Raw genomic sequence first — 18367 nt, 5'->3', positions numbered from 1 at the left:
CTTAAAAATAATGCATGAAAGTATGAAGACTTAGGATTTCAAAGAGGTTCTTCACATTTCAATTATTATTCTGTCCTGTTTGCACCATCTTAACATCTTGGGGTCTACTCTACAACGAGGCCCAGTTTGCAGTTTTAGTTCCAAAAAATTTTAACTATGTATTTTTCACCCAAGAAAATTATTACTTTTCAGCATCTCAGCAGTGAGCTTCCTGGCCACTTGTAGGCTAAGCAGATACTAGCTGTGATCTTGCTTTTACAGAAAAGTCTCTGGTACAGCTACAAGGGTAAATGTAAATAGTGCAAATCTGAAAATACTTTTCCAGTAAAAATAGAACATTGGCCAAGGATGATCCTAAGTACACTGCAATGACAGAAGATAGAGTTTTTAAAAATCATTTGAAAAGACAAAACATATTAATCCAAAGAAGCCAAAGGATTTAATTCAGCTATACTAACAGAATGTGGCTGCTTTAAAATATTATAGATTGGTGCAAAAGTAATTGTACTTTTTGCTATTAAAAGTAATGACAATTACTTTTACTTTTGCATCAAATAATCAGTCCTTAAAATGTATTTTTATAAATAGCATCATTTACTTTTGCACCAAATAATAATTCAGTCCTTAAAATGTATATTTATAAAATAGCATCATTTACTTCAGACAACTTTTTGTTGTTAGGTAATGCCACAATACTCCCTTTTGTTATGCCATATACATTTGTATGTTATTCGAAGGTCCCTGGATGTTGTACATAGCTTGAGTAACATGTAAGGTCACTGAAATCTTGTTTTCATTATTTTGTCATCAAAATATCCTTGCCAAACATTTTTTGCTAAAACTCTCTCTCCTGGAAGGCAGGGTGGGAAGTCCTTCTTGCTTTTAAGATCCTGGCCCATAGTACAGTGAGCCATAGACAGGTAAGAAATAACTTTTGCAGCCGGGCATGGTGGCCCACACCTGTAATCCCCACACTTTGGGAGGCCGAGGTGGGTGGATCACTTGAGGTCAGGAGTTCAAGACCAGCCAGGTCAACATAGCAAAACCCTGTCTCTACTAAAAATACAAAAATTAGCTGGGTGTGGTGGCATGCACCTGTAATTCCAGCTACTTGGGAAGCAGAGGTTGCAGTGAGCTGAGATTGCACCACTGCACTCCAGCATGGGTGACGGAGTGAGACTGTCTCAAAAAAAAAATAACTTTTGCTTTCTGAAGTTCTTTTCTGAAGCATGCATATAGGAATGGATTATTTTCAGCAATCCATGTGGACTGAGGAATAAAAAGTTACAGAACTTCAATTCAACAAATATTATCTGAAACCCCACTACTGTTACAGAAATAACAGGAAAGACAGGCCTGTTCTCCCGGAACTGACAGTCGGAGGGGAAAAAGAAGGAAGGATGCTGTTCAAATACAAAGGAAGGGGATCTTACCCAGGCTGGATGGGAGGTGAGTATGAGGAGTCAGAAAAGGCCTCCTGGAGGCAGGAACATCACCTGAAGGATGAGGAGGCATCAATAAATACAACAGGCCAATATAAGGGATGGTGTTAGGCTGCAGACAGAGCAGGAGGCGGCATCAGACCTGCCTCTGTAACAACAAGGACCTGACCTCGTACAAGCCATTTGACCATTTTTGCTCTCATTTTCCTTATCTATAACATGGGATGGCTAAGATGTCAGTTAACCTTAACTCTTGCTGTGCATCAAAATCACCTGAGCACCTTCTAAAAAGAATGGCTCCTTCCTCTGAAAGGTCGTTTCAGGTGGTGGGACCTCAGTGCTTCTTTCATGAGCTCTCCAGATGATGCTAATCTGCAGCCAGGGCTGAGAACCACTGGATGAGATGAGCTCTCAGGACCCTGACATCTCAGGTCTGTGGTTCACTACCCCTGGTGCACAATAACATCTTCTGGGAGCTTTTAGAAATCCCAGTGGAGGCTGCATTCCAATAATTAAACCAGATCTCTGGAGGTGGCCTCAGGCATCAGTAATTTCAAAGTTCCCAGAATGATGCCAAGCTACAACCAAGGTTGACAACTACTGTTCTGGGCCCTCTTAATACTTCAGTTCCCTATTATGGTCAATGAAGGATGGGAAAATTAAAAAGAAAACTACATTGAATTAACAAGAAAACTAAATGCCAAAGGCCACCGAAGGATCTTAAACGGGACTGTACCACACATGGCTGTGTGCATCAACCAGTGGGAAATGCCCAATCCAAAATGCTCTCAGGTCTAAATTTAAGATTCAATGGAATACTTCTATAAAATGGCTCCACGGTGTGTTCTCTGCAATACTTAGTTAGAAATTGATTTGCATGGTTGACTGTAATATGAACATTACATTCCCTACCCCCGAGGTTACTTAAATCCACTTATTAGGCAATGGTGAACTAAACAAACAGTAATTAGAAACACTCCAGACTACCTTTTAAATCTGTTGCTAAATTATGTTTTTCCTGCACCAAAGCCCATACACACAGCATGTCCACAAGCATCACAAAACCAAAGCCTCAGAAATATTTACACTAATAAGGGCATAAGCTACCTCTGGGCCTTCACACTGGATTCTGCAGGGAAGTAAGGGCTGCCTTAGAAGAAGACTATTCATTACTGTTATTTCTCACATCTGGGTAAATAAAGCACTGCCCCCATGTGGTTAGAAATCCCAGGTGAAAATGAACTCTCCAGGGGTCTGGAAATGAAGAATACCTCTGATAGACTGTCTCATTTCCTGAAATGAGTCAGAAATGAAAGTAATTCCTCAGAAAAGAACATCTGCACTATGGCACAGCTTATAAAATAATGCCAGATGATACCTGTGGCTAAGAAGCTGGCCCCAGAGAAGAAGGGAGGGCCTGGGAACAGCACCAGAGCCTCTGCATTGCACTTAATCTCAAGGCTGCCGCTGTTAGCTTGGAGGGTCTGCAAATCCAATGAGCGGCCAGGCGTCCTGGTCTCCACCATAAATCTTGATTAGCAGTAAGACTGCTCACATTCCATTAGAGAGCTGGCCCCTTGCCAATGGGTGGAAGCAGCCAGAAAGGATGCATGTGCTGCCCTGAGCACGGAAATAGCAATTCTTACAAGAAAAATTGTTTTCCTTAGCTAAAAATAGTCTATGCCCGTTAATGATCCAGACAGACCTTTCTTCCTGGGGAGGACTATGACCTAATGTTGCCAAGGAAAGCCCTTTCCCTTCCTATTATTGCAGGAAGAAGAGGTATTGGCATGTGGTCAGGTACTGGAGGACAGGAAAGAATGAAATGCCTTTCACAACAACTCTTGTAAAGACCAATAAACAGGAAGGTGAAAAACAAAGATGGTTTTCACCAAGATCAGAGCCCAGTTATTCTTCTTAGGTAGCTCTTCATTATTTTTTTCATCCTGGTTAAGTATGTATGTATGTATTTTATTTATTTATTTATTTAATTTTTGAGACAGGGTCTCACTCTGTCACCCAGACTGGAATGCAGCGGTGCAATTTCAGCTCACTGCAACCTCCACCTACCAGGTCCAAGCAATTCTCCTGCCTCAGGCTCTCGAGTAGCTGGGATTACAGGCATGTACCACCACACCTGGCTAATTTTTGTATTTTTGTAGAGATGGGGTTTCACCATGTTGGCCAGGCTGGTCTTGGAATCCTAACCTCAAGTGATCTGCCTGCCTTGGCTTCCCAAAGTGCTGGGATTACAGGCATGAGCCACTGTGCCCAGACCTGGGTTTGTAAAAGGAATCCAGCACTACTGTTTGTAATGGAGTAGTGGGGGAACTGGAAACAATCTACACGCCTGTTAATAGGTGATTAGGTAAATTATAGTACATACACAATGGAATACTATGTAGTTATTTAAAAGCCTAATCTGTGTGCAGATATAGAGATATCTGTACTCTCTCTGACACACTAATACATTAAAAAATGCACCTGGCCTTTTTAAACATTTGTGTAAATGATTTTAAAGAAGTTTCCTAAAATAGGAGAGGGTTGGGAGAGAGAGTTATTTTTCTTTTATACCCTTCAATACAGTTTTGACTTATCTTTTCATATACCTGTACCCTTCCCCTTTTAATAATAGGCACTAAATAAGTGGAGGGCTATTTCCGGTTTCTTCTTTATGCTAGCCTCTTCATACATAATTTACAACAAGTAAGTGCTATTTTTTTTGAGATGGGAGTCTTGCTCTGTTGCCCAGACTGGAGCACACTGGCATGTTCTCAGCTCACTGTAACCTCCACCTCCCTGGTTCAAGCGATTCTCCTGCCTCAGCCTCCCGAGTAGCTGGGATTACAGGTGCCCGCCACCATGCCTGGCTAATTTTTATATTTTTAGTAGAGACGGGGTTTCACCACACTGGCCAGGCTGGTCTCAAACTCCTGACCCTCAAGTGATCCACCCGCCTCGGCCTCCCAAAGTGCTGGGATTATAGGCGTGAGCCACCATGCCTGGCTAGTAAGTGCTATTTTAAATAGATGTTATGGAATCATAACTCCCCAAAAATCAGATGTGGAAGCCCTAACCCAAAGTACCTCAAAATGTGACTGGATTTGGAAAAGACAGGGTCTTTAAAGAGGTGATTAAGTTGAAAATGAGAGTGTGAGAGTGTGCCCTAATCCAATCAGACTGGTGTCCTTAAAAGAGGAAGAAATTTGGACACAGAAAGATACCAGAGTGCATGCCCACAGAGGAAAGACCATGTGAGGGCACAGAAAAGGTGGTCGTTAGCAAGCCTCAGGAGAAACCAAATGTATTGACACCTTGACCTTGGACTTCCTAGCCTCCAGAACTGTGAGAAAATAAGTGTCTGTTGTTTAACAACCCAGTCTAAAGTATTCTGTCATGGCAGCCCCAGCAAACTAATATAACAGATAAATAGATGGATGATTCAATTCAAATAGCACAACATGGATACAGTCACCCACAAGAGTCTTCAACAGGTGAAAAGCCCACTATGTCCACCGTGATGCTGATGGCCTCATCTGCTTTGTGAAGAAACAGGAGTTACTGACTAAATCATGTTCACCCTGTTAAGTGGCTCAAGCTGGGACCTGAATGGGTTTCCCACTTCGTCATTTTTAACAAACCCCATAACTCAAAGAACTAGAGCCATATTATACACACACACACACACACACACACACACACACACACACTTGTTTTTTGAGACAGGGTCTTGTTCTGTCACCCAGGCTGGAGGGCAGTGGCACAATCTTGGCTCACGGCAACCTCCACTTCCTGGGATCAAGCAATCCTCCTGCCTCAGCCTTTCAAGTAGCTCGAACTACAAGTGCATGCTACCACGCTCAGCTAATTTTTTAACGTTTTTGTAGAGATGAGGTCTCACTATATTACCAGGCTAAGCCTCATATATTTTATTAGTGACTTTTAAAAGCTTGGCTTATAGTCAAAAGGCTGATAACTAAGAAAAGGGAAAGTGTCACAGTAATATTAATTCAATTTTTTAAAAAAAGACTTGGCACCAATGTTTAAAACAAGTATGGAAAAACAAATGATATGCCATATTTATGTGCCAACCTAATCTTTTATACTTTAATACATACGGTCTCAGACCACAATGCAATATATTTTTAAAAGTATGGTAATCCAGGGCTAAAATTTCTTTATAAAATCTTATAGATTTTTACAAATTTATGAATATTTTTAAAAACTGGAGTTTAGAGATCAATGACATAGAACCACAGACTTTGCCTATAGAATCTTTAAGCTATAAAGGCTTAACCTATAAACCTATAGTCTTTAACTTGCAAAGATTTGTAAGTGGGTTAAGATGCAGACAACTGAAAAGATCACAACCCAAAGATAAATATGTGGTACAGGCAGTTCAGGCTACAGACATTCAGAGGAAGGTGGAATCACTTTTGCCTTGAATGGCCAGGGGAAGTTTCACCAAGGATATAGGGTCTAAGCCAATCTGGGATTAGAAATAAAAGCTAAGGAGAAGTGATTTATGTTCAGGTCTGCCTTATCCTTGAGTATATTGTTCTGAAGGCAAGAACTGTGTCCCTAAGATCCTAACAGTGCCTGGCAAATAGTAGGCATCTGCCAGCTGGGGCAGGGAAACAGGTGAACACACAGCATGCTCATGTTAGGGTAGGTCTATACTGCAGGATTTTTGTAAGGAAGTTGCAGGACATAAGATTTAAAAAGTTGGAGCCAACCTGCAGGTACACTGAGGTTTGCGCTTTATCCCTACACAGTATAGAGTCTACGAAGGTGTTTCTGAAGGAGAAAAGCACATGATGGGGCCAGCAGTGATGTGCAGAATGGACTGGAGGTGGTAGAGAAATGACAAGAATCGGGAAGGTTAACTGGATGATCAGCTGGGTAAAGTCTCAGCTTCCTAATCTGTAAAATAGGCATCATACTACCTCTGTTCATAGGGCTGCTGTGAATATTAAATGGAATAAGGATGGTAAGGTACATAACACGAGGTCTGACAGTAAGCACTCAAGACATAACTGCTATCATTATCATTTATTATTATCATTCCACACTGCAAGATATAGAAGAAAATGAGCAAGAACAAATGTGAGGTGTGGAGCCAGGGTATATAGGTCACTTCAGGGTCTCCTCAAGTCCCTTACACAGAATGGTAAGGCCATCTGTCTTTTTGGAAATGGAGTGTGCTATATTTATTCCTTAGTTCTCCATAACTTCGTATTTCAATACAGTAGATCCAACACGGGAGGAAGAGATGTCTGAAATGATCTTTAAAATCGAGACTACAAAATCAACTTTACGTTGCTTTTATATAAAAGTCACTATACAGATTAATGCCAATCAGTTTTGAAACACAAAATTAATGGACTCAGCTATAAATCCAGGAAAACCATTTTCATAATGAAAATGCCAATGCCTTAATTTAAGAATGGAATTGCCAACATAAAAGACTTACAGTCAATGAGGAATTGCTCCTTTCACTCATAAATGACAGAGCCTGATAACTCTGAATTGTTTCTGAAACTCTGATGATCAGAAATTGTTGAGAATATAAGCTACAGGATTTTTCCAACTGCACAATTACCACTTGATATTGGAGCTCACAGCCTCAGACCAAATTTGGTGTGTTGGCTTTGTACGTTCCTTTCTCTAATTCTTATTATCAGGGACCCAAGGTCTTATATTTAGTGTCATGATACAGATATGAAGTTCAACTGAAGATAATAGCACTTTGTCTAATACAAAACAATGCTAACTTTTTTTGTATATTTGATCTTAGAAGCAAGATTTACTGTACCACAAAAAATTTTTTGTATTTACATAAATATGTATGTATCCACAGTCAGGTTTCACCAACTAACCATTGGTAAAATTAATGTTTCAGATGTCTGTGCTATTCCTACTCTCAATATTAATCATCTATTTTAAAACTTTACTCTTTGGTCCATGACAGGTTGCCACACTTACTATATCAATGGTGGGTGTATTACTTCTTAAAATTAATAAAAGCCAACCCCCCAAAAAATTATCCAAAGGGACTAAATAAGACATAACTGATTACTTTTACCAGAGTCAACAGAAACTTTCCAAGAAACAAAGAGGCCAAGATGAAGAGAACAATCAACTGTCAAACCAATTAGTAGGCCAAGGACAGAGTAGGATAAGGAATGCAAACTTATCAGCATAATTTCCAGTTCACAGGCATTAGCCAAGACATACATGTATTCAACACTCGAATAACACATCTTAGAAGGAAAGAGCAGAGCACAAAATCAGGAATCAAGATGTGGGAAGAAGAAAAAATTCCTTTAAGGAGAGAATAAAGCCTGAAGACAACATGCAGCAGGTAATGGGGTGACCAGCAGCTAAATCAAGAGATATGAGCTATAACCCCTCATTACACCCACCAAGCTGGTTTCCTCGGTTTCCTTCCGAATGTTCCTTAACTTTTCTAAGTCTTAGAATCTTTAGGTTTAGTTTGAACAGGGAAGATGATATGATATCCAAAGGTCTCCTCCAGCTCTGATAACAGACTGGGAGTTTGTTTAGACGATGAACAGATACGTTTAAAGGGGAAAAAATAGGCTACTTTTATTTCAGTGACTTGAAGTTCACAAGAATGAAATTTCACAGAAGGGAGCCAAGCTGTCAGCACGCACAGTGAACACAGCCCTAAAGCATTTGTCAAACCAAGGCCTCTGAAATGAGTACAAACACCTGGATGGTGTGCATGTTACCTGCCACATAACCTCAGCCTCAGCCACAATCCCTTTGCCTCTGACCCTCCTTGGCTCTTCCCAGTTGGATACACTCACTTCTCAGCCCCCATTCTTCATGTAATCCTGCCAGAGGCAAGTTGTACACACATCTATAAAAAGTTAGGAGAGGTTTAAGGTGAAACAGGCAATGGAAATCCTTGGTGCAGCTCCTAACCTTGAGAATAGCACAGTAGGTAACAATTATTAGTGTCCTAAAAGGACATTTTAGGACAGGCAGGGCAGCTCACGACTGTGATCCCAGCATTTTAGAAGGCCAAGGTGAGAAGAATGCTTGAGGCCAGGAGTTTAAGACCAACCCAGGCAACAAAATGAGATCCCATCTCTCCAGGAAAAAAAAAAAAAAAAAAAAAAGGCCAGGCCAGGCATGATGGTTGTAGTCCCAGCTATTCAGGAGGCTGAGGTGAGAGAATCACTTGAGCCCAGGAATTCAAAGTTGCAGTGATCGCACCACTGTACTCCAGCCTGGGTGACAGAGAAAGACTCTGTCTCTCAAGATAAAAAATAGAACATCTTGTACCGGCCCCTGTTAGAATGCGTGCCCCAGTAATTTCACTTCTCAAGAACTTCACAAAATAATGTGAAATATAGACAAATATTTATACCTACAAATCTCTCTCAATATTATTTATAACAGCAAAAAAATCTGATGCATGCTAGATCTGCAACAATCAAGGAATGATTATGCAAATTATACCTCAAGTTAAGTTCCCCTCCTACATGATCCCATAGACCATGTACTTGCCCCTCTACAGGACTCAACCTGCCTACTAATTGGCCATTTCCTCCAACAGGTCCTGAAGGACAAAAGCCATGTTTTGTTCACTACTTTCGCCACAAAGTATAGTTTATAATAAGCACAAACTAAATATCTGTTGAATGTCTTCTGGAAAACACCTTTAAGTAAATTTTATGTGATGGAATGTTATTCAGCCATTAAATGTGGTTTGTGAAGCCTTCTTAAATATAGGGAGTGCTGATGATGAAAAGCTCTGGAAAGCCGGGCGCAGTGGCTCACGCCTGTAATCCCAGCACTCTGGGAGGCCGAGCCGGGCAGATCACCTGAGGTTGGGAGTTTGAGACCACCCTGACCAACATGGAGAAACCCTGTCTCTACTAAAAATACAAAATTAGCCAGGTGTGGTGGCACACACCTGTAATCCCAGCTGCTCGGGAGGCTGAGGCAAGAGAATTGCTTGAAGCCAGGAGGCGGAGATTGCGGTGAGCCAGAGATCGCGCCATTGCACTCCAGCCTGGGCAACAAGAGCGAAACTCCGTCTCAAAAAAGAAAAAAAAAAAAGCTCTGGAAATGGATAGTGGTGGTGATTGCACAACACTGAATATACTTAATGCCACTGAATTGTACACTTAAAAATGGTTAAAATGGTTAATTTTATGTTATGTATACTTTAACCCAATAAAAGAGATAAACAGAGAGTGCTTATGAGGCAAGTTAAGTGAAAAGGCAGGATACCATAGGTCTAAACCATATAAAACTACATTTGCATTTTTTTAAAAGGCGGGAAAGCAGCATACTAAAATATTCATGGTGGTTTATCTTTGAGGGGTAGTGTTGGGGTGATTTTTGTTTTATTTGCAGTTTTCTGTATTTCCCAAAATTTCTACAATGGCTCACATATAATATGTATAATTGGAAAAAGACATCAAGCAGCATGGATAGAAAGGTTTCCTTATCAGCAGGTTAAACGTGGATCAAAATCATTTACCTTGCTATGATCCTTGATGTATTATACTTGTATACTGCATATCATTTGTGCTTGCCTTCACTGTATAGTCCATAAAACATGCCATTTAAGTGAAAACGGTACCTTTTAAAATTGAAATGTATTATTTAGCTTTTGCTCTGCCAGAAAGTATGCCTTTCAGATGTGATGCACCGTAAGTATGCTTTGCTCAGGCTGAGAAGCAGCAACTGATGGTTGTTTTAGACACACAAGTGACCAACTGGATCAAATGCACAGTTGTTCTCAGAGGTGAAAGACTTTCAGAACCTGTGATGAGCCAGTCTGCAACACCTCAAAGAGACTGAGACATCCAAATGGCCTCAATAAACACTAAACTTGATACATTTACAAATAAATTAGAAGCAAGTCCTTTGGAGTTACACAAACTCAGGACTGAAGTAACAGAGCCAGGACTGCCACTTATCATGCATACAACTGTGAGTGTTCCTGGCCTCAGTTGTCCCACAAATAAATGGGGATAAAAATGCTTCCCTCTTGGGTAAACAAGATGATATTTGCAAATCAGAGCTGGAGGAAACCCTGAGCGTGCTAACAGCAGTTGTCCAATCAATATCATTAATTTCCTTCCTTTCCCCTCTTTAGATCAAGTGTCCAATCCAGGATAGCAAGTGAAATACTAAAAACGGCCCTCTACCTAGAACTAATACAGTTAACATCATAGGAGAATGGGAAGATGTTCTGAATCCTTTTCGAGTTTCACTCCTCAGAAGCCCTCATAAAATGCAAACCAATTTTCCTATTCTTTGTTCCTCAATAACTGGAAAATATTCTCTGTGTCCTTCACATGCCTGGAATCCTGATATCACCCTTAGGTTTCTCTTCAAACCTTTCATTCACACCTGGCATGGTGGCTCATGCCTGTAAACGTAACATTTGGGGAGGCCAAGGCTGGGGGATCACTTAAGGCCAGGATTTCAAGACCAGCCTGGGCAACACAGCAAGACCCCCATATCTCTACCAAAAAAACAAAACAAAACAAAACAAACAAACAAACAAAAAAAACAGCCGGTTGCGGTGGCACATGCTTGCAGTCCTCGTTACTCAAGAAGCAGAAGCAAGAGGATTGCTTGAGCCCAACAGTTTGAGGCTGTGGTGAGCCAAGATGGCGCCACTGCACTCCAGCCTGGGTGACAGAGCAAGAAACCCCGTCTCTTAAAAAAAAATAAATAAAAATAAAAATAAAACTAAAAACTCAATACAAATGATAAAATCTTTCATTCCTTTAAACGTATCAGTGGTTCCTCTCAATCCTCTCTTCAAGCTCTCCCTACATTCTGTTAACTGGATGGCCTCTGAATCCCTCTGAGCAGGACTTGTGATAGCATAAGACTAGCACCTAATTCATGCATCCCAGAGAGCTCTGAAAAATGCAACACATTATTATGCTTTGGGAGGTTACTTGATTCTGACTGATGAGGGTGTGCAGTGCCCCTGAAACAAATCCAAGTGTGACCCACAGTGCCCTCCTATTTGCTCCCATAACCTTTGTCCTTTGCTTTGCCTTGCAATTGCCAACATTGTTTAGCAAGCTGATCGAGTCTGAGATTGCATCAGATTCAACACTGCACCAAATCCCTCCCTTCAAAAGAGCAGCCCCTATCTTTGCAAAAGATCTGCCTGCTTCCTTCCTTGATTAGCTCTTACTTGAGTGCCTCACTGGGCAAAGGAGGAAAGAAGCTGACAAAGCAAGGATAATGGAAATCTTCAGCTGTTTAAGGTTACCTTTGTACAGGCTGAACTGTACAAACTGACTTCACTACCTTTGGGCTATAAAACTCAACCTTTTTCTTTCAGTAAACATGTACTGAGCCCAGCGCTAAGTGCTCGGCTTTCAAAAATCAGCCATTTTTTCCTTATGGAAGAAAAGAATTATCAACAATTCTGCCACAGTGCAGTATGTTCTAGAACAAAAGTATATACAAGGTTATTACAGCTGCACAGAGGGCAAAGAAGGACACTGAATCTGCCTGGGCAGGATTCGAGGAGTTGGATAATTCCCACATCTCTTTACTCGCCATGGAGGAATGAATGAGCTGACCTACAGTGCCTGTGGGAGGCTAGTGCTGTTGCAGCCTTTTAACGCAGTCTATTTAATGCCATTGCCACTGAATTGCTTTGGTTGCTGTACATGCTTTCCTGTTCTCCTCACATATTTATCTCTTACTTTATTTTCAGAATAGAACATATGGTGTTTCCATTCTCTCTCCAGTCTTTCAACCCCATCATGTTTCCTGCCCTGGAGAGTTGCTTTGACTATCAGAGAAGGCATACTATAATGGCTTAGTTGGAGCAAATAAAGAGGCAGGAATAAGCCTGTTTGCTGAAAGGAGGTGGAAAAGCGTGTGCAGAGCCATTATCAGAAGTACCCACTGCAACCAGGCCCTCCGTGGCTCCAGCAGGTGAGTACCTGCCCTGTGAATGCCCAGGGGCATCCCTGCCAATTGCAGCTGGAGGTATTTGTCTTCACATCAGTTTCTATCCTCTACATCTCACCTTATCCATTTCTAGGGTGTACTGTTAAAATCGTGGTTCTTAACCTTTTATAGTTCATGAAATCCTCTGAGAGAATCTAGTGAAATCCAATGACTCGCTCCCCTGAAAAATTTTCAAAAGCACATAAATGCAAAATATTACATACAACTTCTAGGGATACACAAACCCCTAAACCCTATACACAGAAACCAGGAAAAAGCATACTGTTTAGTTCAAAATCCTTGAGCTTGTACTATGTGCCAAGCACCATGGGGACACCACCTCAAACTTAATGCTTCACCATTCTGAATGCTGGACTGTCCTCCAACATCCTGCCTTTGTTCCATGTAAAGCTTCTGCCTGTAACACTTGTCCCCATGTTCTCTGCCCAGGAAACATCTATTCTGCAGTTCAAGCATCACCTCTTAAATGAAAATAATGGAAACTTTATGAACCCATCACCCTAATCCACCCCTTCCCCAAGAAGGGCAAATTACTCCCCTCTTCCTGTCCCACCATTTTCTGAAGATACTTGAATCAGAGATCCTACAATATTTATTACTTTCATGCAGTCACATCCCTTTCTCTATCAGACTGTCGGCAACCTGAGGGCATGGACTATAACTTAACAATCTTTTATTTCCAGCTCGTAGTTTACAGTCTCTATTCTGGAGGAAAACATTCCTTTGGGGGAAACAAACACACAATCAGTTAATTTTAATACAAGTGTCCTAATGCTCAAACCTGATGAGTGATTTTTAAGCAAAATCTTAGGGGAGGAGTGGCAATAAACTAGACAAAATTGGTGTGTGGAGGTGGGGACATTATTGGCAGGGGGACAGCAAGGCATGCAGCAGAATCACAGTGTACAGGGAAGGCAGTAATTCAGGATTCGTGGTGACTAAATAGGGAGGCAGAAGGCACATGTAAGAGGTGAGGAGAGAGAAGTAAAGAGGAGTATGAGGATAGAGGGCACCAAATGAGGTAGGGAACGTGGACATATCCCAGAGGTGAAAATCACTGAAAGATTTTTTCTCCCTTTTCTACTTAGAAAAGTAACATGATTATTGTAAAAAAATGGAGAAAAGGCAAGAAGACGACAAACTCACAACTCCATCATATAGAGGCAACATTATTACTATTCTCTCATCCTTATGTGTTATGTTAATAAGTATGCATGTGTATGTAACTGTGGTTTGTATTCTACTTTGATTTTGCTAAAATTAAGTATTTACTAGCATCAGGCACTATACTGAATACACTACATGCATTATCCTCAAAATAATTCTTAGTAATTCACAATTATTCATTGTAATTCATTTTTAGGAGGACAAAGTTGGGGGAAGGGTGTCCAACACCACACGACTGATTAATATGTATTTAATAGCAGAGCTGAGAGATTCCAAACCAAGTTTTCTTCAAATACTTCATTTTTTTTCTTTATTCTCATGTGTTTAATTTATAAGTGAATTACTTTTTCCAATTTTCTCAGAAAAATCGCTTTGGGAATTTGATAAGCATTGTGATAAACCTAAAAATAAACCTGGAAAAAAAACCAAACCCATTACTATATTGTTTTCCCATATAGAGAGCACATAAAACTCCTGGCTTTCATTTCAATCTTTTTATAATCTTCGCAAAGTTTGCAGTTTTCTTCATTGAAGACTTGTAAGTTTAGGAGGGTGGCATGTTCAGATATATGCTTTGGACAGATAAATTTGGCAACAGTATGAAGGAAGACAGATTTGAGGAGACGAGATTGGAAGGCTGAAACACAAACTAAGAGAGATGGCCACAGTCCAGGTGAGACACAAGAGCCTAGAACCAAGGCAGTGATGTGTGGTGGGGAGGGCAGGGAACTGCCTCAGGAAACATGGAAGGCAGAATTTAAAGGACATCGAGCAAAAAGACGAAGCAGAGTGGTAGAGGAAAAAGGGGAAGTCAGGGAGAGTGGGTGAAATGGGGATGCCATTCACAGAGAGCACACAGAAGGGATGCAACTTGTGGTGTGGGGGAGGAAATAACAAGTTCAACTGTGAACTAAATCACCGAAATCATTCCAAGTGCCTACTCTATGCTGAGTGCTGAAGAGTCTGTGGCACATCAGACTGGGGTGGCCCCAGGACGGGCAGACTGGGGTTAACAATGAGCAAGGAGATTAGGCTGGGCAGAGGGGTGCACCCTGGTGGAGATGGCCTGGATGGGGCTCTGAAGCTCTAGGAACAGATCTGAAACTGCAAGTGTGAATGAGACTGCCCTCAGAAAACATGCAAGAAATGTGAGAACAGAAGCCAACCAAGGTTAGAGCTTGAATTAAAACAGTGTTTCAAGTTGAACAGACGAAGCAGGCACGCCAAGAGAGCAATAGAAGTTATAATAACCCAATCCTGAGCCCATACTGCCCCTAGACTTCTTGGAAAGAATGATTTTTTTTTTTAATTCAAAGGTCTCTCAGTTGATTTTAAACATTAAACAAAATCACATTAAAAGTCCATGATGAGGGCAAGAATTTGCATCTCCTGGCTGCCTCTCAGAGCTTTATCCACCAGCCACATGGAATTGATGATTAATATTCAGTAGGAAGTGAATGTATAATCATGTGCCTGCCATTCAAATGTGAAAAGAAATGTTTTCTGCTCAGTACACCCAATAATACATTAATATATCTTCAGTTTAAAATACATTTATGAATAATTTTATACATTTTATAAATTTCCTGGCAAGGATGATAATAGAACAATCTATTTTCACTGCTGCATGAAACAAAAAAGAGGAATGAAAGGTTCAGTTAATCAAGGAATTTAATATGCTTTATAATAAATATCAAACAGTCATTACTTGGGCTATACAAAGGGTGGCTGAGGTCACAATATGATTATAATAGCAAGAGTTTGTGTCCATATATATTCTCTGTCAGTTACTTAAATTTGCATATGAAGTTTCCTCTATGATTTTTTTTACCACATTAGAAAGCTAGAAATCAAATTTGCTTGTCCTGATCTATATATGAGCAGCAATAATAAGATTTTGTAATGATTAACAGTAGTAACAATCAAATAAATGGAAAACACTAACCTTTCCAAGGTACCAATGCAATGACAAACAGACGGATATGAAAATAAATTACCTGCACTGCCATACGTAAATGTGGTTTAGAACACCAGGAAAGCACCAGAATCTTAAATGATTACTGTGGCAGTGTTTGATGAGGCCAGGAACAAAAAATACTGTGAATTCTTCATATTTGGTCATCTCTGCCAACAGTGTCTACCCATGTGTTGTGTATACACATGGGCATGTTCAATGTTATAGCATCCTGATCATAAAAAGAGATGCAGTCACTTCAAGATCATAGGGAGAGGCTGGATGCAGTGGATCATGCCTGTAATCCCAGCACCTTGGGAGGCCGAGACAGGCGGATCACCTGAGGTCAGGAGTTTGAGACCAGCCTGGCCACCATGGCAAAACCCCTGTCTCTACTAAAAAATACAAAAATTAGGTGGGGGTAGTGGTGCATGCCTGTAATCCCAGCTACTCGGGAGGGAGGCTCAGGCAGAATTGCTTGAACCCAGGAGGCAGAGGTTGCAGTGAGCCGAGATCCCGCCACTGCGCTCTGGCCTGTGCGAATGGGCGAGATTCAGTCTCAAAAAAAAAAAAAAAAAAAACACCCAGGGAGAAAACCTGGGGCCAGATGGAGATGGAGATGTATGATCCATCCAGGAGGAGCTCATGGAGTCACAGTTTCCCCTCTTAACAAGCACTGCCACTAAAATATGTATTCTACGGTTGTTGCATTAATTCTATTACAATCTACTAGTTGTAACTCCCAGAGTTCTCATTGAGCAAAAAGTTTTGTTTAAAAATGGCTTTGGGATGATTCTTAGTAAATTAAGAATCCTATGATTCCACGATGCTTCCTTTAGGAATAATATCCAAGGAGTAATGTCCACTACAACCTCCTTCAGCAACATTCCTGTTTTTTATTTTTTTGAGATGGAGTCCCTGTCGCTAGGCTGGAGTGCAGTGGCACAATCTCAGCTGCCACCTCTGCCTCCCGGGTTCAAGCAATTCTCCTGCCTCAGCCTCCCGAGTAGCTGGGACTACAGGTGCACGCCACCATGGCCAGCTAATTGTTGTTGTATTTTTAGTAGAGACGGGGTTTCACCATGTTGGCCAAGATGACATTCCTGCTTTTATTGAAGAAAAAAATTCCAAGGCAGAGGGAGCATGCGCTAATGATGACTAATCTCTAAGTATTTAAAGGTGACCAAGATTAAGGGCCTCAAACATGTAAAACACTTGACAAATGTCAGAATAATAAAAGGGGAGATTATAAATGAATGATAGATAACAAGATGCTACAAAATTAAGAACATTCTAGTAAACAGAAATAAAGCTGTGTTCAGTTTGATAATATAGACATGCAAAAATTATGGTAACTTAATTCTTTTAGCATTTATAATGTAAGAGATATATATGGAAAGTAAGTTAAAAACTAGCTTATTCTCAATCATAAAATATATGAGTTAAAATTTTGAATCAAAGCTTGATGAGGGTTATTTAAAAATGTGATTTTTTTCATGTTTTGAGAGTCAAATAAAAGTATACAATTAAACAACAGAACCAGGAAACTGCTCTTTTATTCATTCAAGTATGTTGAGTCTGTTTATGGAACTTAGCCATAATTCATATTTCTACTTCATTGTTAACAAAGTAGGTATAATCTTACATATCTGTAATTCTGGGAAATTTTCAGAATCCATTTAATCATAAGTATCCATCGAATGAAAAAGTTTTCTGTCACTATTTTATGTTCACTCCAAAGTGTGATAAACATTTGATTAGCCAAATTTTAAAAAATCCAACCAAATTACCAAACTAAACTGTACTTAACTGATTTTCCAAACAAACTTAAAATGTGACAAAGAGTTGGTCCTGTAAGTACAAGTGATTGTTAGTATCTATGACGCCTTCAACAAACCATCCAGTGCTCTGCAGTCCTGTCTTCTAGGAGACAGAAAACAGGACTTTGTTTCTGTTCTGAAAAATTACCTTCACTGAGCCAAAGTCATGGATCTGGCAGATACTGCCTCCCCAGGCAATGATGATCCACAACATCCCCATCCTCCTCTCCCCCTATTCCTTGGCCCACCTTCAGGAGGTATGGACAACTGGGTCACAAAGCTGGGCTTCAGAATCCTGGAGTAAGCTTCCCCTGGCCCTGCAACTCAATTCATAATCTTTCTCTACTGCCTTCTCTCTGTGCCATCCAGCATCCACAAACTTCCTCATTCGTAAGAATGGCGAACTTTTTTTTTGAGACGGAGTCTTGCTCTGTTGCTAGGTTGGAGTGCAGTGGCACAATCTCGGCTCACTGCAACCTCCGCCTCCCGGGTTCAAGCGATTCTTCTGCCTCAGCCTCCTGAGTAGTTGGGACTACAGACGCACACCACCATGCCCAGCTAATTTTTGCATTTTTAATACAGACGGGGTTTCACCATGTTGGCCAGGATGGTCTCGATCTCTTGACCTCATGATCCGCCCACCTTGGCCTCCCAAAGTGCTGGGATTACAGGCATGAGCCACCACACTCCGTGGCGAACTTTCCTGATGAATGGTGAATTATTACATGGAGAGTTCTGAGGAGCTTTTGCAAACCTAAAGCGTAAACCAAACACTTCTAGCCTCATTATAGGGGTTAGTAATACACAATCATGACATCAGCAAGCTGGGAAGAACTTTGGATGTAATCTAAGCCTAAACTCCTCATTTTACAGATAGTGAACTATGATACTGGCTATCATCTACAACCAAAATAATAACTGACTCAAAGTAACCTGCACATTCATGTAACATCGGTGGAACAACTCAATTACACATTTTCATGTTTTGA

At 40.7% G+C, this 18367-nt stretch overlaps 1 protein-coding gene across 4 annotated transcripts in view, besides 1 other annotated feature; it reads right to left on the bottom strand.

Annotated features, from left to right (window-relative positions):
- ANO6 (anoctamin 6) overlaps positions 1-18367 on the bottom strand; it is a 224310-nt gene that overhangs the window by 168447 nt on the left and 37496 nt on the right. The window contains exon 2 of one of the 4 annotated variants that reach the window (NM_001204803.2): positions 1434-1496. The exons of the other annotated variants lie outside the window; for them this stretch is intronic. Within the exon in view, the coding sequence (NP_001191732.1) occupies positions 1434-1496 (63 nt within the window). The remainder of the gene's footprint in view (positions 1-1433; positions 1497-18367) is intronic. 4 annotated transcript variants of the gene reach the window in all.
- Positions 14198-14698: an enhancer, noted in NCBI's record as "H3K4me1 hESC enhancer chr12:45651043-45651543 (GRCh37/hg19 assembly coordinates)". NCBI's record gives its function as "activates a minimal SCP1, AML or CMV promoter by ChIP-STARR-seq in primed H9 embryonic stem cells {active_cell/tissue: H9 hESC(primed)}" and the evidence as "EXISTENCE:reporter gene assay evidence [ECO:0000049][PMID:30033119]".

This window comes from Homo sapiens, chromosome 12 (assembly GCF_000001405.40).
Source record: "Homo sapiens chromosome 12, GRCh38.p14 Primary Assembly".
Classification (NCBI taxonomy): domain Eukaryota; kingdom Metazoa; phylum Chordata; class Mammalia; order Primates; family Hominidae; genus Homo; species Homo sapiens.
The sequence above is the reverse complement of the archived record's forward strand: the minus strand, read 5'-3'. Positions and strand labels throughout refer to the sequence as shown.